The sequence below is a fragment of the Homo sapiens genome, chromosome 17 (genome assembly GCF_000001405.40).
Source record: "Homo sapiens chromosome 17, GRCh38.p14 Primary Assembly".
NCBI classification, from domain to species: Eukaryota; Metazoa; Chordata; class Mammalia; order Primates; family Hominidae; genus Homo; species Homo sapiens.
Genome location: NC_000017.11, coordinates 232,782 through 255,999, shown reverse-complemented (window position 1 = coordinate 255,999; position 23,218 = coordinate 232,782). Strand labels below are relative to the sequence as shown.

Genomic DNA, 23,218 nt, shown 5'->3' with positions numbered 1-23,218 from the left:
CAGACACCGTGCAGCTCCCCTCATAGGAAGTACGTAGGGTAGTCATATTCCTAGGGATGGAAAAGGACAGACGCCGTGCGGCTCCCCTCATAGGAAGTACGTAGGGTAGTCACATTCCTAGGGACGGAACAGGACAGACGCCGTGCGGCTCCCCTCATAGGAAGTACGTAGGGTAGTCACGTTCCTAGGGATGGAAAAGGACAGACGCCGTGCGGCTCCCCTCATAGGAAGTACGTAGGGTAGTCACATTCCTAGGGATGGAACAGGACAGACGCCGTGCAGCTCCCCTCATAGGAAGTACGTAGGGTAGTCACGTTCCTAGGGATGGAAAAGGACAGACGCCGTGCAGCTCCCCTCATAGGAAGTACGTAGGGTAGTCACGTTCCTAGGGATGGAAAAGGACAGACGCCGTGCGGCTCCCCTCATAGGAAGTACGTAGGGTAGTCACGTTCCTAGGGATGGAAAAGGACAGACGCCGTGCGGCTCCCCTCATAGGAAGTACGTTGGGTAGTCACATTCCTAGGGATGGAACAGGACAGACGCCGTGCAGCTCCCCTCATAGGAAGTACGTAGGGTAGTCACGTTCCTAGGGATGGAAAAGGACAGACGCCGTGCGGCTCCCCTCATAGGAAGTACGTAGGGTAGTCACGTTCCTAGGGATGGAACAGGACAGACGCCATGCGGCTCCCCTCATAGGAAGTACGTAGGGTAGTCATATTCCTAGGGATGGAAAAGGACAGACGCCGTGCAGCTCCCCTCATAGGAAGTACGTAGGGTAGTCACATTCCTAGGGATGGAAAAGGACAGACGCCGTGCGGCTCCCCTCATAGGAAGTACGTAGGGTAGTCACGTTCCTAGGGATGGAACAGGACAGACGCCATGCGGCTCCCCTCATAGGAAGTACGTAGGGTAGTCACATTCCTAGGGACGGAAAAGGACAGACGCCGTGCAGCTCCCCTCATAGGAAGTACGTAGGGTAGTCACGTTCCTAGGGATGGAAAAGGACAGACGCCGTGCGGCTCCCCTCATAGGAAGTACGTAGGGTAGTCACGTTCCTAGGGATGGAAAAGGACAGACGCCGTGCGGCTCCCCTCATAGGAAGTACGTAGGGTAGTCACATTCCTAGGGATGGAACAGGACAGACGCCGTGCGGCTCCCCTCATAGGAAGTACGTAGGGTAGTCACATTCCTAGGGATGGAAAAGGACAGACGCCGTGCGGCTCCCCTCATAGGAAGTACGTAGGGTAGTCACATTCCTAGGGATGGAAAAGGACAGACGCCGTGCGGCTCCCCTCATAGGAAGTACGTAGGGTAGTCACGTTCCTAGGGATGGAAAAGGACAGACGCCGTGCGGCTCCCCTCATAGGAAGTACGTAGGGTAGTCACGTTCCTAGGGATGGAAAAGGACAGACGCCGTGCGGCTCCCCTCATAGGAAGTACGTTGGGTAGTCACATTCCTAGGGATGGAAAAGGACAGACGCCGTGCAGCTCCCCTCATAGGAAGTACGTAGGGTAGTCATATTCCTAGGGACGGAAAAGGACAGACGCCGTGCGGCTCCCCTCATAGGAAGTACGTAGGGTAGTCACGTTCCTAGGGATGGAACAGGACAGACGCCGTGCAGCTCCCCTCATAGGAAGTACGTAGGGTAGTCACATTCCTAGGGATGGAAAAGGACAGACGCCGTGCGGCTCCCCTCATAGGAAGTACGTAGGGTAGTCACGTTCCTAGGGATGGAACAGGACAGACGCCATGCGGCTCCCCTCATAGGAAGTACGTAGGGTAGTCATATTCCTAGGGATGGAAAAGGACAGACGCCGTGCAGCTCCCCTCATAGGAAGTACGTAGGGTAGTCACATTCCTAGGGATGGAAAAGGACAGACGCCGTGCGGCTCCCCTCATAGGAAGTACGTAGGGTAGTCACGTTCCTAGGGATGGAACAGGACAGACGCCATGCGGCTCCCCTCATAGGAAGTACGTAGGGTAGTCACATTCCTAGGGACGGAAAAGGACAGACGCCGTGCAGCTCCCCTCATAGGAAGTACGTAGGGTAGTCACGTTCCTAGGGATGGAAAAGGACAGACGCCGTGCGGCTCCCCTCATAGGAAGTACGTAGGGTAGTCACATTCCTAGGGATGGAACAGGACAGACGCCGTGCGGCTCCCCTCATAGGAAGTACGTAGGGTAGTCACGTTCCTAGGGATGGAAAAGGACAGACGCCGTGCGGCTCCCCTCATAGGAAGTACGTAGGGTAGTCACGTTCCTAGGGATGGAAAAGGACAGACGCCGTGCGGCTCCCCTCATAGGAAGTACGTAGGGTAGTAACGTTCCTAGGGACAGACAGCAGACTGGGGTGGCCAGGGGCCAGGGCAGAGGAGAGCTATTGCTTAGTGGTTATAGAGTTTCAGTTTGGCAAGTTCTGGAGATGGGTTGCACTTCAGGTGATACGTTTGATGTTATGAATACTTTAATACAATGGAAACATTTTTAATTTTTTTAAAAAAGGATTGCGCATACCCGGAGGCCAAAACCGTGGTCCGGTGCCGCAAAGGAGCAGCTCGGAAGTCCATGAGCTGAGGACTCACTGGCACAGATGAGGTTCTCGGCCCCACAGTGTGCGGGAATGCAGCTCTGTGGGGTGTCTTAGTCTCTTCCCCTGAAGACTCACGACAGAGATGGCTTGGCCACATTGCCAAGTCACCCTGAGCATCAACCTGGCCACTCCCCGTTAAACAGGGCCTTGACTGGCTGGGCGTGAGGTGGGGGAGCACTCTCAGCCCCCAAGGCCTGTCCTAGGGATGGCAGGGTAGCTCCATTGTTCGCCCCACGCCCCTCACTCTGGTGGCCTCATGCCCTGATGGATGCCTCTCCCCAAGCCCACCGTGGTTCCCTGGGAACCTTCCCCGATCAGGGTCCACAGAGGAGGCCTTGGATTCCACCAGGAAGTGTAAGCCGAGGTCCCCACCCCAAAAACACTTACTGTAGCCTCCTGGGAATGTGGCTTTTCCTCCTGGAGGGCGGCCTGACTCTATGTCATCATCCAAACACACAGTTCTCGACCCTGCAGTCCCGCTCTGTGGAATATAGGCTGAGTATCATTCATCAGAAAACCCAAAGCTGAAATGCTCCAAAATCCAAAACTCACTGGAGCATTTCAGATTTTGGATTTTCAGATTTGGGATGCTGAACTGGTTAAGTATAATGCAAATATTCTAAAATTCGGAAAAATTCAAAATCTGAAGCACTTCTGTCCCAAGCATTTTGGAAAAGGGCAAAATCAACCCGTCTTTCCTAAGGCAATAACCGAGCACTGGGCTGATGGGGTGGGTGCGGGGTGATGGCTGCGGCGCTGCCCGTGAGGACGAGGATTGGAAACAAATGTCCCTCGGTGAGGTGCTGGATTACTTAAGTTTAATAAATCCAAACTGTGGAGCAGTGAAAAACGATGATGGAGAAGTTATGAGTTCGGAACGACTGCTCTGATGCGTAGTGAGGTGTTGGGGGACAGGGTGGGAACAGGTTGCATCTACATTAGCCTAGTTTTCAAAAAAACAAAAAACAAATAGTGTGTTTTCCCAGGCAATGGTGTAAGAAAATTCACACCGCCATGGTCAGCAGGGCGTCTCTGTGCAGTGATGTTATAGGTGGCCTAGTTTCATTTTACTTTTTTGTTGTGCTAATTTTGTATGCTAGGTATGTATTTTTCAGGAAAATAAAAAAAGGGAGAGGCTAGGCGTGGTGGCTCGTGTTTGTAATCCCAGCACTTTGGGAGGCAGAGGTGGGCAGATTGCTTGAGCCCAGGAGTTAGAGACCAGCCTGAGTAACATGGTAAAACCCCATCTCTACAAAAAATACAAAAATTAGCTGGGTGTATTGGCGCACACCACCTATAGTCCCAGCTACTCGGGAGGGTGAGGTGGGAGGATCACCTGAGCCTGGGCAGGTGAAGGCTGCAGTGAGCCGATTGCTCCACTGCACTCCGTCCTGGGTGACAGAGCAAGACCCTGTCTCAAAAAAAAAAAAAAGTAAAAAAAAAAGAGAAAACTTCCAAGGCGGGTGGGGGAGACAGTGTGGCGTGCGGTTCAAAGCCTGCACGGGCCCCGCCGTTCACAGATGGTTCTTAGGGGTCTGCTTCATTTGGGGTCCCCCAGGCCCAGCCCACGGTGGAGGACAGGGAGGTGACGTGCTCAGGGCAGGATGAGCAGAGCTTTCGCTCATCAGAGGGAGGCGTAGCGAGCCCTTGGCTGGCACCCCATGGCCCCCGTGGCCTTTTGGACTTGGGTACCTGCTCTAATGAGCCTTGCAGCAGCTCTTCAGAGATGGGGTGGCCTTGGTGGCTGCTGTGTGTTTGCTGCTTCCTCCTGTCAGGCAGTCCTCTCCACTCTGGTGTCCTGCCTGTAGGACACTAAGGGTCCACACAGACGTCTGAGCCACTGAGGATTTATTCACCACTCAACTGCAGTTTAGTGAGCATCTGCTTTGCATCTGTAAACTGTTGGGTGAGACTCTGGGGCCTTCCGTGTGGAGTAGAGGCCAACAGAGGGGTGTGCTGGCTTTGGGGAAATTGCTGAACTTGTTGGAGCCTCAGTTTCCCCACCTGAAAAGTGGAGATAATAAGCTTCTTCGATGCTTCTGGGAATGGGGGAGGAGACTGGCTACTTTTGCACTTTGTGGATTTTTAGACCATGTGCCTGCATTACCCATTCAAATAAATACGTGTTGTAGGAAGGCTCCAAGAGGATCAGAAAGGGTTTTCCAAAGCGGGTGCCATGAAGCACCCATCCCACCAGACAGGTTCCAGGCCGTTCAAGAACGACACAAAAGCAGGCCCTTCACACAGGGTGGCTGGAAGGGGCAGTGAGGGATTCATGCCAGGGACCTAGTCTGGACGTGGCAGTCCGTGCCTGGCACTGTGAGCATAAGGAGGTGCCCTGCCCAGTTAAGTGCCGAGTCCATGCAGACCCATTACTAAGGTCTAGTTTCTCTAGGAAAACCATCCAGGCAGATTGCGGGTAGAGAGCACGGTGTGTTCTTTTGCCCTCTGGGATAACCCTGTGCACCTGAGCTTAGTAAAGGCTCTGAGAGGTCCTGCAGCGATGGCGCTTAGGCTCTGAGAGGTCCCACAGCGACGGAGCTTAGGCTCTGAGAGGTCCTGCAGTGATGGAGCTTGGTAAAGGCTCCGAGAGGTCCCGCAGTGATGGAGTTTAGTAAAGGCTCTGAGAGGTCCCGCAGTGGCAGAGCTTGGTAAAGGCTCTGAGAGGTCCCACAGGGATGAAGCTTAGTAAAGGCTCTGAGAGGTCCCGCAGTGGCGGAGCTTGGTAAAGGCTCTGAGAGGTCCCGCAGCGATGGAGCTTAGTAAAGGCTCTGAGAGGTCCCGCAGCGAGGGAGCTTAGTAAAGGCCCTGAGAGGTCCCGCAGTGATAGAGCTTAGTAAAGACTCTGAGAAGTCCCACAGCGATGGAGCTTAGTAAAGGCTCTGAGAGGTCCTGCAGCGACGGAGCTTGGTAAAGGCCCCGAGAGGTCCCACAGCGATGGCACTTAGGCTCTAAGAGGTCCCGCAGTGACGGAGCTTAGTAAAGGCTCTGAGAGGTCCCGCAGCGACGGAGCTTAGGCTCTGAGAGGTCCCGCAGCGACGGAGCTTGGTAAAGGCTCTGAGAGGTCCCGCAGCGACGGAGCTTGGTAAAGGCTCTGAGAGGTCCCGCAGCAACGGAGCTTGGTAAAGGCTCTGAGAGGTCCCGCAGCGACGGAGCTTGGTAAAGGCTCTGAGAGGTCCCGCAGCGACAGAGCTTAGGCTCTGAGAGGTCCCGCAGCGATGGAGCTTAGTAAAGGCTCTGAGAGGTCCCGCAGCGATGGAGCTTAGTAAAGGCTCCGAGAGGTCCCGCAGCGATGGAGCTTAGTAAAGGCTCTGAGAGGTCCCGCAGTGATGGACCTTAGTAAAGGCTCCCAGAGGTCCCGCAGTGATGGACCTTAGTAAAGGCTCCGAGAGGTCCCGCAGCGATGGAGCTTAGTAAAGGCTCCGAGAGGTCCTGCAGCGACGGAGCTTAGTAAAGGCTCTGAGAGGTCCCGCAGCGACGGAGCTTAGTAAAGGCTCTGAGAGGTCCCACAGTGACGGAGCTTAGTAAAGGGTCTGAGAGGTCCTGCAGCGACGGAGCTTGGTAAAGGCCCCGAGAGGTCCCGCAGTGATGGAGCTTAGTAAATAAAGGCTCTGAGATGTCCCGCAGTGATGGAGCTTAGTAAAGGCTCTGAGACGTCCCGCAGCGATGGAGCTTGGTTTAACCTAGTGCTTTTCAAGAGTATGTGATTAGAAACCTTTTTTTTTTTTTTTTGGCTTGACTCTTGTTAGTATCCCACAGTACTAATGTGATGCAGAGGAAGTTTGCGGGGTGGGAAGCAATGTCTCAGAATCAGGTGGATTCTGGTCTTCTGGTTTTGAATTCTTCCAGTAGGGAATTGGCCCACTGGTGATAAAGCTGTTTGTGTTTGCCAGGTGGCAGGAGGGGGGTGGCGGTGGTGCCCATGGGCCTCTCCTCTGTGGAGAGGCTGCTCCGTGCCTGGCACTGGCCCTTGAGGCTTCACGTTCATTCTTGGGCCTGATCCTCAAGTCCTCCCGGTGAGATAAGCCCTGCTCCTGTGTTTGCCTACTGATGAAGAAACTGAGGGCCAGGGAGGTCAGCGTGTCCAAATCACACCAGATGCTGGGTGCCAGACCCAGGATTCAGATTCAGGACGTCGGCTCGGAACCTTGGCCTGCCCTTCTCTGAGAAGGGTCATGTCAGTTGAGGTTTTTGCAAAGTGTTCGTTTACAGGCTCCCACCCCTCCTGACTAAATACCCTGAATTTATTTCCTTCATCAGAAAAGAGGCTATACAGTATGTGGTGTTTTCTGAAGGAGGCATTACAAATTTAGGGACCTTAACTCAGCAGCTGCTCTGAATTCTAATCGGTGGCTCTCTCCAAGAGGCGGTCCTTTCTGTTCCTGTTGGAGAGGCTGTCCCATCTGAGAAGTCCTCAGAGAAGAGCTTCCAAGGCTGTGATGTGGTCCAGCCTGGCTCTCCCTCAGCCTCGGTTGCTTCGCCCTGGAGCCTCGAGCGGAAGGGACAGGAAGGAGGCAGGCAGGTGGCATCTTGTGAACACCTTCTGGGTGCCCTTTGCTCTGTTGAGTACTTCCAACTTTCTCAGCAGCTATCATGTTTCATCAATTTAATCAATAAAGAAACTCAGGCTCAGAGAGGTTAAGTAACTCACTCAAAGCCACACAGCGAGCATGTGGAAGCTGCCATTGATTCAGCCTTGCTTCCAGGGACAGCAGGAGTGGGGAGCCTGGGTGTCCAAGCTGGGGATATTAGAGGAACAGAGGGACCCCTCAGAGCCCAAGGGGCTGTGCGTCCCAGACCCAGAGCACCTCCCACCCTGTGAGTTCAGGGTGGGCATCCCTGGATTCCTGGGGCTCTGCCAGCCTTTGGGGGTGTCTGTCTGGCCAGCTTTAGGGTGACTCTCACCACTTCCCCAGGGCAGTGATAAAGGGATGCTTTACACCTGCTTGGGCCCTGGCAGGCCCCCTCTGACCCACCTGGCTCTCAGAGTCCCTGGGGGACTACATAGGGTCAAGAGGGGCTCCTGGGAGGCTCAGGATGCAAGGAGGATAGAACTGAGGCAGGAAAGAGGGTGGAAAGCCAGTGGCTGTGCCATGGGGGCAGCCAGAACAAGTCTGGAGCTTTGTGGCCACTTCTGAGCCCCTCTCCCGAGGGGCAGTGACAAACATGGCAAGAGGGGGTGGCTCGATGAGAGGGGACTTGGGACAGCTGAGGAATCAGGGTGTTGTCCTTGAGAAGCTGGGGATCTGGGCATGGCACCAAGGAGAGCTGGGGGCAGGAGGAGGTGTCTGCAGGTACACGTGGCTGGGAGAGTCCATCCCATGCAGCTCTCTGCCTTGGGCCAGCAAGAGAAGGTGCCCGGGAGGTCAGCTGGCAGGGAGGAGAGCTTGGGGGCTGGGTGAGGTGCCTGCAGGTACTTGTGGCTGGGAGAGTCTGTCCCGTGCAGCCCTCTGCCTTGGGCCAGCGAGAGAAGGTGCCCGGGAGGTCAGCTGGCGGGAAGGAAGTGCCAGTCACTGGCAGATCTAGTGGAAACTCAGCAGTGCCTGGTGGCTTGTGGGCTTCCTGTCACTAGGAGTTTTCCAGCAGGGGCCGGAAAGGACTGGGGATGGGCAGAGGTCTGACTAGGCAATCTCTAGGATCCGAGTGGTGGATACAGACGGTAACAGAGGACGGTTTTCATAAACATGTCTCACATGCCAGGCCCATATTGAGATCCCTGCTCTGCAAGAGAGAAGCAGGAGGACATGGGCTTGTCTTTAAAGCAGGTGTAGACCCAGGTACAGTAGTCCCAGCTGCTGAGGAGACTGAGGCAGGAGGACCGCGTGAGCCCAGGAGGTGGAGGCTGCAGCGGGTGATGACTGCACCACTGCACTCCAGCCTGGGCAGCAGAGCAAGTCCTCAACTCTAAAATAAGGGAGAGAAAGAAGGTTTGGAGAGTTCATGTCCTGAGTCCTGGGAAGGTAACTGACAGCCCAGCCCATCAGCCAGGGAGGGCAGAGCCAGAGTTCCCACTCCCACTCTGCTCCTAGCTCTCCGCGTCCTGCCTCCCGTCATCTGGGCAAGGAGCAGGAGGGGAGGCTCCTCTGCGTCCTGTGCCCCAAGCAGCTCTCTTCCCCCACTCAGGTCTGGAAGAGGTCGGGGGCCTGGTTCTACAAAGGGCTCCCCAAGTATATCTTGCCCCTGAAGACCCCTGGCCGAGCTGATGACCCCCACTTCCGACCTTTGCCCACGGAACCGGCAGAGCGAGAGCCCAGAAGCTCTGAGACCAGCCGCATCTACACGTGGGCCCGAGGAAGAGGTAAGTCCCCTCTGCCTCTCTCCCAGGATGGCCTGTAAAGTTTGGGTCATTAGCCAGCCCGGCAGTTTGCAGGCACAAGGCCAGTCCCCCGCACCCTCCATCCACGAGGCTCATTCTGGTGATGCGTCCCTCCCTGTGCCCTCAGCTCCACACCTTCTCCCGAGTGAGCAGCGGGGACCTCCAGCAGGTGACTGTTCGCTCTGTGCAGGAGTGCGGCGGGAGGGCCCACGGGGGGCAGTATCACATACAAGTACTGCTCTGGGGGCAAGGATGCCATGAGCAGCACTACGCATCTTCACAGAAATGGGACGTCAATTAAGGTATTTTGCAAAGTATAAAACCTACATCTTTCCCAGGCAGGCCCTCACCATCTCTTCCTGGCACTTGCCTTGTGTCTCGGTAAGGGAGGACTCCTGGCTTCCCTGGTCCTAATAAGTATGGTGACTTTGTATCCCAGTGTCCCTGGGCGTTCTGGTGGCTACAGTAAGGTGTGTGTGTCTCAGGTGGCCGCCCCACTTGGCAACGATGGGGGCGCCTGGTTGTGGACCGTTCTCCGCAGCTTTCATGATGCTTTGATGTTTGTGGTTTTATTTCAAAGTTCCTGGTCTCACAACAGGCTCGGAAGTTATTTAATGACTGCATTTTATAGATGGGTGTACCTGCGGCTCAGAGAAGAGGAGGGACTTCCTCGGCAGGTGTGTGGCCGAGCTGGGATCCAAGGGCAGGCTCTTACCCTCTCTGGCATCTGGGTCCTTTTGCTCTGAAGTGCTCACGTTTCTGCCAAATACTCAGGGTCTGAGGGTCTTAGATGAGACGGCAGGCAGAGGGGTGAGGGAGGCTCGTTCGGATCATGGCTCGTCTTGGAGGAAGTGGACCCATCACAATAGACCTGGCGGCCGCTTCTCAGGGGCTTTGCGACATCCTGGTCTTCGGTTGTGACCTGACATCTGACCATCTTTATGTCATTCGGGCTGTTTTTTCTTGTTACAAAAGTAATGCATGTTTATTACGAACATGTGAAAGTTGTCCAGTGACGTATGTAGAAGGTATAAATCCCCCATACGTGGACCTGCCAGGTAGGTCGGCATCTGTGCCTTGGTGTGCAGCCTGCAGGCACTTTGTCCTCAGCACCCCGACTCCCTCATAGCAGCCTCTCCTCGCTGGTCCTACCGGATGCTGCGTACACCTCTGCTGCCTATGAGTTCACCCCCGACATCGCTGCCACGGACAGACATTGGTGGGGACCGTGGGATGCAATGCAGTGGAGACCGTGCAGGCGGGGAGTCCCTCAGGAGGAGGGGGTGCAGGCCTGGCTGGGACACTGGCCTGAGGGGCACTGTGGCTGCCCAGCCTGGAACTGAGTGGCCCGAGATTGGCTGGAGAAGTGGCGGTCCTCCACCTGGTCCCTCTGCCACCCTTGGACCTCAGACCTTCTCCTGCTGAGCCCTCGAGATCTGTCCATGTCCCTCAGACAGTGGGAGCAGAAGCTGGTGGACACCTGTGGGTTTAAAATGCTGCTTGGAGCCAGTTGAGCCGGAGAGGCTGAAGGCCTATGGGGGCAGCTGTGGCCTATGCCCCACTTCAAGAGCTGCCACTGCCCCGTCTGCTCCAAGTCAGGGCATACACACACACTCACATCCACGCACACAAACACAACCGCATTGACACACGCTCACACCTACACACACATCACCATGCACACACACACACTGATATCCACACACACACTGACATCCACACACACACACTGACATCCACATACACACTCACATCCACACACACACACTGACATCCACATCCACACACACATCCACACACACACCCACGTACACACACACTGACATCCACGTGCACACACACATGCTCTCATCCACACGCACACACACATCCACATGGACACACACGCTCACATCCACACACACAGACATCCACGTACACACAGACACATCCATGTGCACACACACATCCACATGGACACACACATCCACACACACATCCACATGTACACACACGTCTACACACACTTGCGCATGCACATTTATGCACACACATCCACATGCACACATAGTGCTCACATCCACACACACATCCACATACACACACTCATATCCACATGCATACACACTTGCTCACATGCAGACACACAAGCTCACACACACATGCATGTACACACACTAGCGTTACACTCATGCACACAGTAGCTTACATGCTGATTCACACGCACACACACTCGCACTCATATGCACACACACGGTTGCCCACACGCACACATACTCCCATGCACATGCGCACACCCTGGGGAGGAGCAGAGCCCCCCTCACTTCCTCAGGCACGCAGACTTGGCCTTTTAATTAATTAAAAGATGGCCTTTTAATTTCATGGGCGAGGAGGGCAGTGGCCCCATGCTCTTGCAGTAGAGTGTGGATCCTCTGGATTGGGGTCTGCTGGAAAGTCCCAGGAGATACTCGGAGGCTGTGAAAACCACCCTGCTCTCACCAGACGCTGCTCCTCCTGGGACCCTGCCTCCGAGGGCCCCGGGGCCAGCATCTTCTTCCTGCCCCACAGTCCCTTTCACTGGCTTGGAGCTGATCACAGCACCAGCTTGCTCGCTCTCTCAGCCTCTCTCTAAGCCTCTTTGCCCACCTCCAGTTCTTTCTCTCCCTCTCCCCCCCCATTCTCTTCCCTTCTCTCCCTCTCTCCCTCTCCCTACATCCCACATCTCTTAGGCTCATGCACCTGTAGCTCCCAACTTCTTCTCCCTGCATCCCAGGCCACCCTATTTTCTTTCTCATGCCCTGTTGGAAGAGGAAGGGTAATCAATAGAGGAAGGGTAATCAATAGAGGAAGGTAATCAATAGAGGAAGGTAATCAATAGAGGAAGGGTAATCAATAGAGGAAGGTGATCAATAGAGGAAGGGTAATCAATAGAGGAAGGGAATCAATAGAGGAAGGGTAATCAATAGAGGAAGATAATCAATAGAGGAAGGGTAATCAATAGAGGGGTAATCAATAGAGAAAGGTGATCAATAGAGGAAGGTGATCAATAGAGGAAGGGTAATCAATAGAGGAAAGTAATAGAGGAAGGTAATCAATAGAGGAAGGGTAATCAATAGAGGAAGGGTAATCAATAGAGGAAGGTAATCAGTAGAGGAAGGGTAATCAGTAGAGGAAGGGTAATCAGTAGAGGAAGGTAATCAATAGAGGAAGGTAATAGAGGAAGTGTAATCAGTAGAGGAAGTGTAATCAGTAGAGGAAGGTAATCAGAGGAAGGTAATCAATAGAGGAAGGGTAATCAGTAGAGGGGCAATCAGTAGAGGAAGGGTAATCAATAGAGGAAGGTAGTCAATAGAGGAAGGGTAATCAATAGAGGAAGGTAATCAATAGAGGAAGGGTAATCAATAGAGGAAGGTAGTCAATAGAGGAAGGTAGTCAATAGAGGAAGGTAGTCAATAGAGGAAGGGTAATCAATAGAGGAAGGGTAATCAATAGAGGAAGGTAATCAATAGAGGAAGGGTAATCAATAGAGGAAGGGTAATCAGTAGAGGAGGGGCAATCAGTAGAGGAAGGTAATCAATAGAGGAAAGGTAATCAATAGAGGAAGGTAATCAATAGAGGAAGGTAGTCAATAGAGGAAGGTAGTCAATAGAGGAAGGTAATCAATAGAGGAAGGTAATCAATAGAGGAAGGGTAATCAATAGAGGAAGGTAGTCAATAGAGGAAGGTAATCAATAGAGGAAGGGTAATCAATAGAGGAAGGGTAATCAGTAGAGGAGGGGCAATCAGTAGAGGAAGGTAATCAGTAGAGGAAAGGTAATCAATAGAGGAAGGTAATCAATAGAGGAAGGGTAATCAATAGAGAAAGGTAATCAATAGAGGAAGGTAGTCAATAGAGGAAGGTAGTCAATAGAGGAAGGTAATCAATAGAGGAAGGGTAATCAATAGAGGAAGGTAATCAATAGAGGAGGGGCAATCAGTAGAGGAGGGGCAATCAGTAGAGGAAGGTAATCAGTAGAGGAAAGGTAATCAATAGAGGAAGGTAATCAATAGAGGAAGGGTAATCAATAGAGGATGGTATTCAATAGAGGAAGGTATTCAATAGAGGAAGGTATTCAATAGAGGAAGGTATTCAATAGAGGAAGGTAGTCAATAGAGGAAGGTAGTCAATAGAGGAAGGTAGTCAATAGAGGAAGGGTAATCAATAGAGGAAGGTAGTCAATAGAGGAAGGTAGTCAATAGAGGAAGGGTAATCAATAGAGGAAGGTAATCAATAGAGGAAGGGTAATCAATAGAGGAAGGTAATCAATAGAGGAAGGTAGTCATTAGAGGAAGGTAGTCAATAGAGGAAGGTAATCAATAGAGGAAGGTAATCAATAGAGGAAGGTAGTCAATAGAGGAAGGTAATCAATAGAGGAAGGTAATCAATAGAGGAAGGTAGTCAATAGAGGAAGGTAGTCAATAGAGGAAGGGTAATCAATAGAGGAAGGTAATCAATAGAGGAAGGGTAATCAATAGAGGAAGGTAGTCAATAGAGGAAGGTAGTCAATAGAGGAAGGTAATCAATAGAGGAAGGTAGTCAATAGAGGAAGGTAGTCAATAGAGGAAGGTAGTCAATAGAGGAAGGTAGTCAATAGAGGAAGGTAGTCAATAGAGGAAGGTAGTCAATAGAGGAAGGTAGTCAATAGAGGAAGGTAGTCAATAGAGGAAGGTAGTCAATAGAGGAAGGTAGTCAATAGAGGAAGGTAGTCAATAGAGGAAGGTAGTCAATAGAGGAAGGTAGTCAATAGAGGAAGGTAGTCAATAGAGGAAGGTAATCAATAGAGGAAGGTAGTCAATAGAGGAAGGTAATCAATAGAGGAAGGTAATCATGAATAGATACTACAAGTCATGAACTTTTCAACCCACAGAGCAATCAGGTGAAAGGGTTGATGTTTCTGAGGTGGGTTCCTTTTTCTTCCTCCTTTAAAGTTTTTTTGTTAATTTTTTTCTTTTTTTTATTGAGACAGTCTTGCTCTGCCACCCAGGCTGGAGTGTGGTGGTGTGATCTCTGCTCACTGCAACCTCCGCCTTTTGGATTCAAGCAATTCTCAAGTCTTAGCCTCCTGAATAGCTGGGATTACAGGCATATACCACCAAACCTGGCTAATTTTTGTATTTTTAGTAGAGACGGGGTTTCGCCATATTGGCCAGGCTAGCCTCAAACCCCTTGGCCTCAAACAATTCACCTGCCTCGGCCTCCCAAAGTGCGGGGATTACCAGCATGAGCCACCATGCCAGTCCTTTCTTTGTTAATTTTTAATTACATAAGAATACAAGATATATTTTAGCGAGTTAATTCAAAGGTGTGTGAAAAAGAGAAAGAGCAAGACTCCGTCTCAAAAAAAAAAAAAAAGAAAAAAAAAGAAAAAGAAACATCTCTTCTACTTACCCTCATCTCCAAACCCTTTCTCTGTGTTCCTACAAACATATACTTGATAAAGGGGTGGGGTTTTTTTGGCTTTTGTTTTAGCAATAAAAATAGGCTCTTACCCAACACTCTGCATGGTGCTTTTTTCACTTAAAAGAGTATCAGGAGCATCCCTCCAGGCCAACGGATACAGATTTTACATTATTCATTTTCATGGCTGAGTAAAATCTCACAATATAGTGTATTATAATTAATCACCTATCGATGGACATTCAAATCAATTTCTAGGTTTTTTTACTTTTTTAATTTTAGAGACAGGGTATTGCTCTGTCACCCAGGATGGAGTGCCGTGGCACAATCATGGCTCGCTGCAGCCTTGACCTCCTGGGCTCACGTGATCCTCCTACCTCAGCCTCCCCAGTAGCTGGGACTACAGGTGCACACCACTGCACCTACCAAACTTTTAAATTCGTATATTTTGTAGAGATGGGAGCCTCACTGTGTTGTCCAGGCTGGTCTCAAAGTCCTGAGCTCAAGCTGTCCACCCACCTTGGCCTTCCAAAGTGCTGGAATTACAGGCATGAGCCACCATCCTTGGCCAACAAGATTATTATTATTATTATTATTATTATTATTATTATTATTATTATTGAGATGGAGTCTCACTCTGTCGCCAGGCTGGAGTGCAGTGGCACAATCTCGGCTCACTGCAACCTCTGCCTCCTGGGTTCAAGCAATTCTCCTGCCTCAGCCTCCTGAGTAGCTGGGACTACAGGCGCCCGCTACACGCCGAGCTCATTTTTTGTATGTTTAGTAGAGACAGGGTTCACCGTGTTGGCCAGGCTGGTCTCGATCTCCTGACCTCGTGATCCTCCCGCCTTGGCCTCCCAAATTGCTGGGATTACAGGCATGAGCCACCGTGCCCGGCCGAAGACGATTTTTAAATATTCATAAGGACACAATTGTTCACAGAAGTATTATAACCAAAAAGTGGCAACAACTCATACGTCCATCAGCTGATGAATGGATAAAATATGGTGTAATCACACAGTGGAACGTTATTCAGTCATAGGAAGAAAGTGCTGATCCACGCTGCAGCCTGGATGAGCCTTGAAAACACCATGCGAAGTGGAAGAAGCCGGAGACGAAAGGCCGCGTGTTGTGTGATCTCATCTATATGAGCCGGTGGGAACAAGCCAGTGCACAGAGGCAGACAGTAGATGGGCGGTTGCCAGGGCTTGGGGAGGATGGGGAGGGGAATGGGGACTGACTGCTAATGGGTACACAGAGCTGATGCAAATGGTCTGAAACTAGATCGTGGTGGTTACGTAAACGTATGGCTATACTAAAAACCACTGACTTGTATACTTTCTGAGGGTACCTTTTATGGTATATAAATTATATTTCAGTTTTTAAAATTCATAAGGTGGAGAATAGCTTACAACAAAAAAACCTTTTTTTTTTTTTTTGAGATGGAGTTTCACTCTTGTTGCCCAGGCTGGAGTGCAATGGCATGATCTCAGCTCACTGCAACCTCCACCTCCTGGGTTCAAGTGATTCTCCTGCCTCAGCCTCCTGAGTAGCTGGGATTACAGGCTTGCACCACCACGCCCCGCTAATTTTGTATTTTTAGTAGAGATGGGGTTTCTCCATGTTGGTCAGGATGGTCTTGAACTCCTGACATCAGGTGATCCATCCACCTTGGCCTCCCAAAGTGCTAGGATTAGAGGCGTGAGCCACTGCACCTGGCCAAAAAACTCTTTCTAATAGCAAGGGTAGGCTGGGTACACTGGCTCATGCCTGTAATCCCAGCATTTTGGGAGGCCAAGTCAGGAGGATTGCTTGAGTCAAGAGTTCAAGACTAGCCTGGGCAACGTAACGAGACACTGTCTCTACAAATAAATTTGTAAGACTTAGCCAGGTGTGGTGGCACATAGCTGTAGTCCCAGCTACTCAGGAGGCTAAGGTGGGAGGATCACTTGAGCCCAGGAGCTTGAAGCGGCAGTAAGCTGAGACTGCACCACTGCACTCCAGCCTGGGTGAAAGAGTGAGACCCCTATCTCTCAAAAAAACAAAACAAAACAAAACAGAATCGGGAGGGTAGTGGAAAGAACTATCCAGCCAAATTTTAAAGCTTACTATAAAGTTACTGAAATCAGTAAGAACGATATAGTATTGGCATCAGGATAAACAGAATATTTATTTGTAGGAATAAACAGACGAGTGGAATAGACAAGAGTAGAGAAAGGGTAGCCTGAGAATGTATGGACGCCAACCATAAGTCACTTTTCAACTTAATGAGAAGCTAACAGACCTATCTCATAACTGGAGCTGGTGCAATTAGATTTCTTTCTCCTTCTAGGTGTATCCAGAAACACACTGCAGATAGGTAAGATCGAAATGTTAAAAATAACACAATGAAAGTATTAGGGAAAGAGTAGACGTGTTCCTGTCCTCTGTGTTATCTCAGGGAGACCCAGTGACTGCACTGCACCTGCAGGACAGGTGCGCTGACTACCTGAGTTTGCTGCTCTCTCCCTCCCCTGGACGCTGGGTATTGATTTTGGCCAAGGAGTTGCCTGCAGACCCCTTGGTGGGTCCCAGCAGGGTATTCCTTCTTTCCCCAGGAGGGGGTGGGGAACGGCCTGGCCTGAGTACCTCTTGGTACCTGGTCACAGGGTCTGCCTCTGAGCGATGTCTCTCCCCCTCCACCTGATCCCTGCAGACAGTGTGTGCTCTCCCCTGCTCTTCCTGGCATACCATTGCTCATATATGACAGCAGTAAAGTCAGCTTTTGCATAGGGCCTGGTCCCTGAGGTCCCCTGTGGTATATGAGGTGTAAATGGCGGCACCGGTGCTGTGGGCCCCGGGGTGTAACACCTTTAGAGCTGGGTTCATCCCCTCCACAGGCTTCTTGCCTTCAAGCTGGATTTCCACCCTGTGCACAGAGAGAGAGCTGCTGGGGGTGGGAGGTGAAAGTAGCCACATCAACATGGCATACTTGAGTAGCGAAAGAGTACATCTTTTTCTCATAAAATACGAAGCTCAGAGGAAGGAGCCACGGCTTCGGTTCAGCAGCTTCAGTGATGTCAGGACAGATGTCTTTGCAATTCTTCTCTTTCCCTCATGGTCACAAGATGGGTGCTGCAGTTCCAGCTGTCACTGTAAAGAAAGGAAGAACGATAAAGGCGCGGCTGGAGTCACTACGCGCGGAAGCGATTCTCAGGTGGACGTTGTTCTCTGCCTCCAACGCCGAGGACAGTTAACAGGATGCGGCTTCTTCTCTTCAACCTCCAGAGCTGTGACCCGCAGGCACCGCTGCCTAGGTCTGCCCTGGAGTTTCGTTTCTTTTCTTTTCTCTCTCTCTCTTTTTCTCTTTCTCTCTCTCTTTCTGGAGTTTCGTTTCATTTTGTTGCTTTTCTTTCTCTCTCTCTCTTTTTCTCTTTCTCTCTCTCTTTCTGTCCCTCCCTCTTTTCTTTTCTCCTTCCTTCCTTCCTCTTCCTTTCTCTTCCTTCCTTTCTTTCTCTCTCTCTCTCTTTCTCTCTTCTTTCTTTCTTTTCTTTCTTTCTCAGGGTTTCACTCTGTCACCTAGGCTGGAGTGGAGTACAGTGGCTCAGTCTCAGCTAACTGCACACGACTTCCCGGACTCAAGCAATCCTCCCACCTCTGCCTCCCAAGTAGCTGGCCATGTACCACCGCACCTGCTAATTTTTTTGTATCTGTAGAGACGGGGTGATTCCACGTTGTCCAGGCCTGGTCTTGAACTCTTGGGCTCAAGTCATCTGTCTGGCTCAGCCTCCCAAAATTCTGGTACTACAGGCATGAGCCACCGCACCCGGCCTGCTGTGTCATTTCTGCCTGCCTTTCTCAATTGTGACTGAGCGCCTGACACCAGGGGCCTGAAGCCAGTGTTCAGAGGGCTCTCAGGTGGGGGCCAGGACCTCTGGATTCATGAAGTTTTACCATGTGGACCTCGGCCTGGGATCCTGGGGTATCATTGAAAGCCTTGTCACTGGGCTGTGGCCTGGCCAGATTTGGGGAGGCCTCTCCACTTTGCCCAGCACCATCAAAAGCCCTGCTCACAGGGTGTAAATACCCATTTCCTCCTCACGTCCATGCCCTTAGAGAGGAACCAAAAAGCTCCCAGGCTGGGACACAGGCAGCTCCGGCTGGGAGGCAAATTCCTTTTCCCTTCTCCTCTGAGGCCTGGGTCATTGTCCCTCCTCAGGCCTCTCTGCAGGAATCCTGCCGCCTTCCACCGTCCATCCTTCCCCAGAGGGGAGTGCAGGCCTCCTGGGTGGCTTTGAACGGGGTGACACACCGGTTCCCTTCAAGGTCTGTTCCAGAACAGGGTGACACACTGGTTCCCTTACAGGTTTTGGATTTGTTCCAGGTGGGGAGTTTTAAGAAAAATGGGAGTTTCACGATCACTTCAGTGGCTCACTTGATGTTAGACAGATTTTACAAATTCCAAACTGTGGTCCTTTTTGTGGTGGCGTGAAAGCAAGCCTGAGGGTTCTGTGTGGGTTGAACAGCCTGGTTCAGCTCAGGCCGCAAATGTTTGCCGGGGCCGCCCTTCCCCAGTGATCCTGCCGCCCCCACCCCACGCCCTCTACCTGTCTTCCGGGAAGAGCTGAGTCCCTCCGAGCTGTACTAGCCCCAGCGCTCTGTGACTCATGGCCGCTAACCCAGCTGATGCTCAGAGCAGCCTCCAGGGCAGCTACAGACGGTGGAATGGACTGTCGATGATGGATGAGGAGGGGAAGGCTGACCAGGGTCCTGTAGGCGGCCAGGCTGTGCCCAAGAGGGCCCAGGATCCCGGCTTCCAAAACCCAGCGCATGCCCCGCCCGTGGCGGAAGCCGTGCAGCGTCAGGCTGTCGCTCAGTTCTCGACGCTCACTGGCTTTTTCTTTTCCGACTGTTGGGGATTTTTGGTTGTGAGGATCAGGGACCACCAAGGCTGGCACGAGGTAGAGGTTGCTGCCAGACCACTGAGGAAGGTTCTCCCAGAATCAGGGCGGGAGACGAAGGCTGGCGAGGCCGCGAGGAGACAGACAGGGCGGCTGAGCTGCTTCTACTTGTGCCAGCTCTGTGCTCCCGACGCCCGCTCTGCAGCTTGCCAGCCCTCCAAGCCAACCATCTGCCCCACCCCCACCCCGCTCTCAGGACCTCACGTCCATACTTGGGAGAAAAAGTGATTGGCCCAATTATTTCTGTTCTGTGTCCGATAGTCAAACATAACGGATGGCGTGGCCAGTGTCCGATAGTCAAACATAACGGATGGCGTGGCCAGCTAAGGCCACTTCTCCCAGACCCAGAGCAGAGCTGAGGCAGGGCAGGGGACATTTAGGTTTCCTTGATCAATAGCCACAGCAGGGGACATTTAGGTTTCCTCGATCAATAGCCATCCAGCCACAGAACTGAGTGTTTTGCATCTGACGGAGGAGTGAGCTCCCTGTCAATGGCAGCATTCAAGCCCAGAGGTAGGACATTAGAGTGGGGGTCCTGTGGGTCAGGAGCTGTGAGAAGCTCACTGTGGGCTGGCACTGTGTGTCCAGAGTTAAGCCCAGGTTGGGAGCAGGGCTGGCACAGTGTGAGGCCTTCTGTGCTCCAAGATCAGGGAAGCCATGTGGCCGACCCCAGCTTTGAACCTGGGACCCCCGTCTTGTTAGTACGGAGCCACCGCCGACCCCAGCTTTGACCCATGGACCCGTCTTGTTAGTGTAGAGCCTTGGCCGACCCCAGCTTTGAACCCTGGATCTGTCTTGTTAGTGCGGAGCCTCGGCCGACCCCAGCTTTGAACCCTGTATCCCTCTTGTTACTGCAGAGCCTCGGCCGACCCCAGCTTTGAACCCGGGACCTGTCTTGTTAGTGTAGAGCCTCGGCCGACCCCAGCTTTGAACCCAGGATCCATCTTGTTAGTGCGGAGCCTCCGCCGACCCCAGCTTTGAACCCTGGATCCGTCTTGTTAGTGTGGAACCTCCGCTGACCCCAGCTTTGAACCCGGGACCTGTCTTGTTAGTGTAGAGCCTCCGCTGACCCCAGCTTTGAACCCTGGATCCATCTTGTTAGTGTGGAGCCTCCGCCGACCCCAGCTTTGAACCCGGGATCCGTCTTGTTAGTGTGGAGCCTCCACCGACCCCAGCTTTGAACCCGGGACCCGTCTTGTTAGTGTGGAGCCTCCGCCGACCCCAGCTTTGAACCCTGGATCCGTCTTGTTAGTGCAGAGCCTCGGCCGACCCCAGCTTTGAACCCTGCATCCCTCTTGTTACTGCAGAGCCTCGGCCGACCCCAGCTTTGAACCCGGGACCTGTCTTGTTAGTGTAGAGCCTCGGCCGACCCCAGCTTTGAACCCTGGATCCGTCTTGTTAGTGCAGAGCCTCGGCCGACCCCAGCTTTGAACCCGGGACCCGTCTTGTTAGTGTAGAGCCTCGGCCGACCCCAGCTTTGGACCCTGGACCCGTCTTGTTAGTGCGGAGCCTCCGCCGACCCCAGCTTTGAACCCGGGATCCCTCTTGTTACTGCAGAGCCTCAGCTGACCCCAGCTTTGAACCCTGCACCCGTCTTGTTAGTGCAGAGCCTCGGCCGACCCCAGCTTTGAACCCGGGACCCGTCTTGTTAGTGAGTGAAGAGCCTCCGCCCACCGAGCTAATAAGCAGCCCTGTGGCTGCCGTTTTTCCGTCAAACGCATATGCTGTTTCCTGACTTCTTCACGTGGCATGCTATTTATACCAGCCGATCCATTCATTCTTAATGAGGTGCAGTTGTGGATTGTAAAATGTTTTATTTTCAGATAGGATTGCTGACCGCCCAGAGCCAGCTGCTGCTATGCCGCCTTCCTTCTCTCTCTGTCCCTGAGAGATTTGCATTTTGGAAGCTCAGCCTCCTTCTCCTCACCCCCAGCCCACTCCCCACCCCCGTATTTTGCTAGCAGACTCTGGATTTGCCATTTCTGTCACATATACCAGCCGCGGTACGTGAATTCTCCACAGCCTTCAGAGCAGCTGGGAGTGTGTGTTGTACACACCGGGGCCGGGGGGGCTGGAGCTTGCAGAAGGAGGCGGAATGGAGTAGGAAGCCTCCCTGTCAGGAGGTGGGTGCCGTCTGTCCTCTGGGACCACACATTTGCCTGTGTTTTGGGTCACAGACTGGTGGAGCAGTGATTCAATCTGGCCTACTGCTTAAAATTCATTGTCAACTAGTTTAAATGTGGAGAACTCTCATTTTTAAAAAAACTGGAGCTCTGGCTTCCTTTGTGGAAGTCAGAAGGGCTTCCGATACCTCCCTGCTCAGGGAAGTTGGTCAGGGTAAGTAGCCGCTCCCTGCTCGGGGAAGTTGGTCAGGGTAAGTAGCCGCTCCCTGCTCGGGGAAGTTGGTCAGGGTAAGTAGCCGCTCCCCGCTTGGGGGAAAGTTGGTCAGGGTAAGTAGCCGCTCCCTGCTCAGGGAAGTTGGTCAGGGTAAGTAGCCGCTCCCTGCTCAGGGAAGTTGGTCAGGGTAAGTAGCCGCTCCCTGCTCAGGGAAGTTGGTCAGGGTAAGTAGCCGCTCCCTGCTCAGGGAAGTTGGTCAGGGTAAGTAGCCGCTCCCTGCTCAGGGAAGTTGGTCAGGGTAAGTAGCCGCTCCCTGCTCGGGGAAGTTGGTCAGGGTAAGTAGCCGCTCCCTGCTCGGGGAAGTTGGTCAGGGTAAGTAGCCGCTCCCTGCTCGGGGAAGTTGGTCAGGGTAAGTAGCCGCTCCCTGCTCGGGGAAGTTGGTCAGGGTAAGTAGCCGCTCCCTGCTCAGGGAAGTTGGTCAGGGTAAGTAGCCGCTCCCCGCTTGGGGGAAAGTTGGTCAGGGGAAGTAGCCGCTCCCTGCTCAGGGAAGTTGGTCAGGGGAAGTAGCCGCTCCCCGGTTGCATTCTGTGGTTCGCTGCAGTCCCCACCCGGCCCTGTTGTCTCTGACACCCTTTCAGCATCACCGTTGCAGTGTTTTTAAGAAGAAAGTGAAACCGTTCTTGTTTCACATCCCTGTGAAAAGAAAGAAGACAGACCAATAGGGGTGCCTGTTGCAAGAAAAATGGGCATGCTTCTCTCAGAAGGGAAGGGCCCTCATGTCCAGCTCACTTCACTCCCTGACCTTTGCACCTGGCCAGTGGGAGGCAGGGGCATGACCAGGTCACGTCTGTGTGACTGTACTCCTAACCCTGACCCCTTGACCCTGCCCCTAGTGGCTGCCATGATCATGGAGGTGGCCCAACGTGACCTCATCAGCAGGGCTTACAGGCCCAGCCCCCACAGGGCTGGTGTTTTCCTGGGGGACTCCTGGGCCGGACAGTCTTGGCGTTGGAAGTCATTTTTCCTCTCTAGGTGTTGGTTTCCCCATGAGTAGAATGGATGAGGGGCTGGGACAGAGTCTGTTCTCTCCCAGCGGTCGTGTCTTACAGGTCTAAATCCAAGGGAATGAAACTTACAGAGGAATTTCAGGCGGGGGGTAGAGCAGTGGCTGGTAAGGCAGCTCTCAGATCAGGCTCTACTGGAAAGCCCAGCCCCATTTCCATGTTGGCCCCACCCTCTGCACACACACGCACACGTGCCACACAGACAGGCACATGCTGTCAAACGAAATCCCGTCAGACCCACCCAGCATCCCCACTATGCTTTGATAAGCGCTCACTAAGTGCCATGAACTGACTGAAGCTTCCTTCCCAAGTCCTAGCCCCAGGAAGGCCTCTTATGCTTAATTATCACCTTCCCCATCTCTGTTCATTTTCCTCCCTGCATGGATTCTGTAGTCCCAGGGAGCTGGAAGTACCTGGGATTTTTGAAATGTAAAGCTAATAGAAGCCAACACACACACACACACACACACACACACACACACACACACACACACACACACACACACGCCGGAAAGGACTGTTTAGAGACAAGGAAGGGGGGAGTTGTCTTTGAA

At 52.5% G+C, this 23,218-nt stretch overlaps 1 protein-coding gene across 4 annotated transcripts in view, besides 1 other annotated feature; it reads left to right on the top strand.

Moving 5' to 3' along the window:
- RPH3AL (rabphilin 3A like (without C2 domains)) overlaps positions 1 to 23,218 on the top strand; it is a 140,419-nt gene that overhangs the window by 96,808 nt on the left and 20,393 nt on the right. For all 4 annotated transcript variants that reach the window (NM_001190413.2, NM_001190411.2, NM_001190412.2 and 1 more), the window contains one exon: positions 8,715 to 8,889. In NM_001190413.2, the coding sequence (NP_001177342.1) occupies positions 8,715 to 8,889 (175 nt within the window). The remainder of the gene's footprint in view (positions 1 to 8,714; positions 8,890 to 23,218) is intronic.
- Positions 11,309 to 11,507: a silencer, noted in NCBI's record as "fragment chr17:94284-94482 (GRCh37/hg19 assembly coordinates)". NCBI's record gives its function as "represses an EF-1alpha promoter that drives an FKBP-Casp9 reporter gene in an ReSE screen in K562 erythroleukemia cells {active_cell/tissue: K562}" and the evidence as "EXISTENCE:reporter gene assay evidence [ECO:0000049][PMID:32094911]".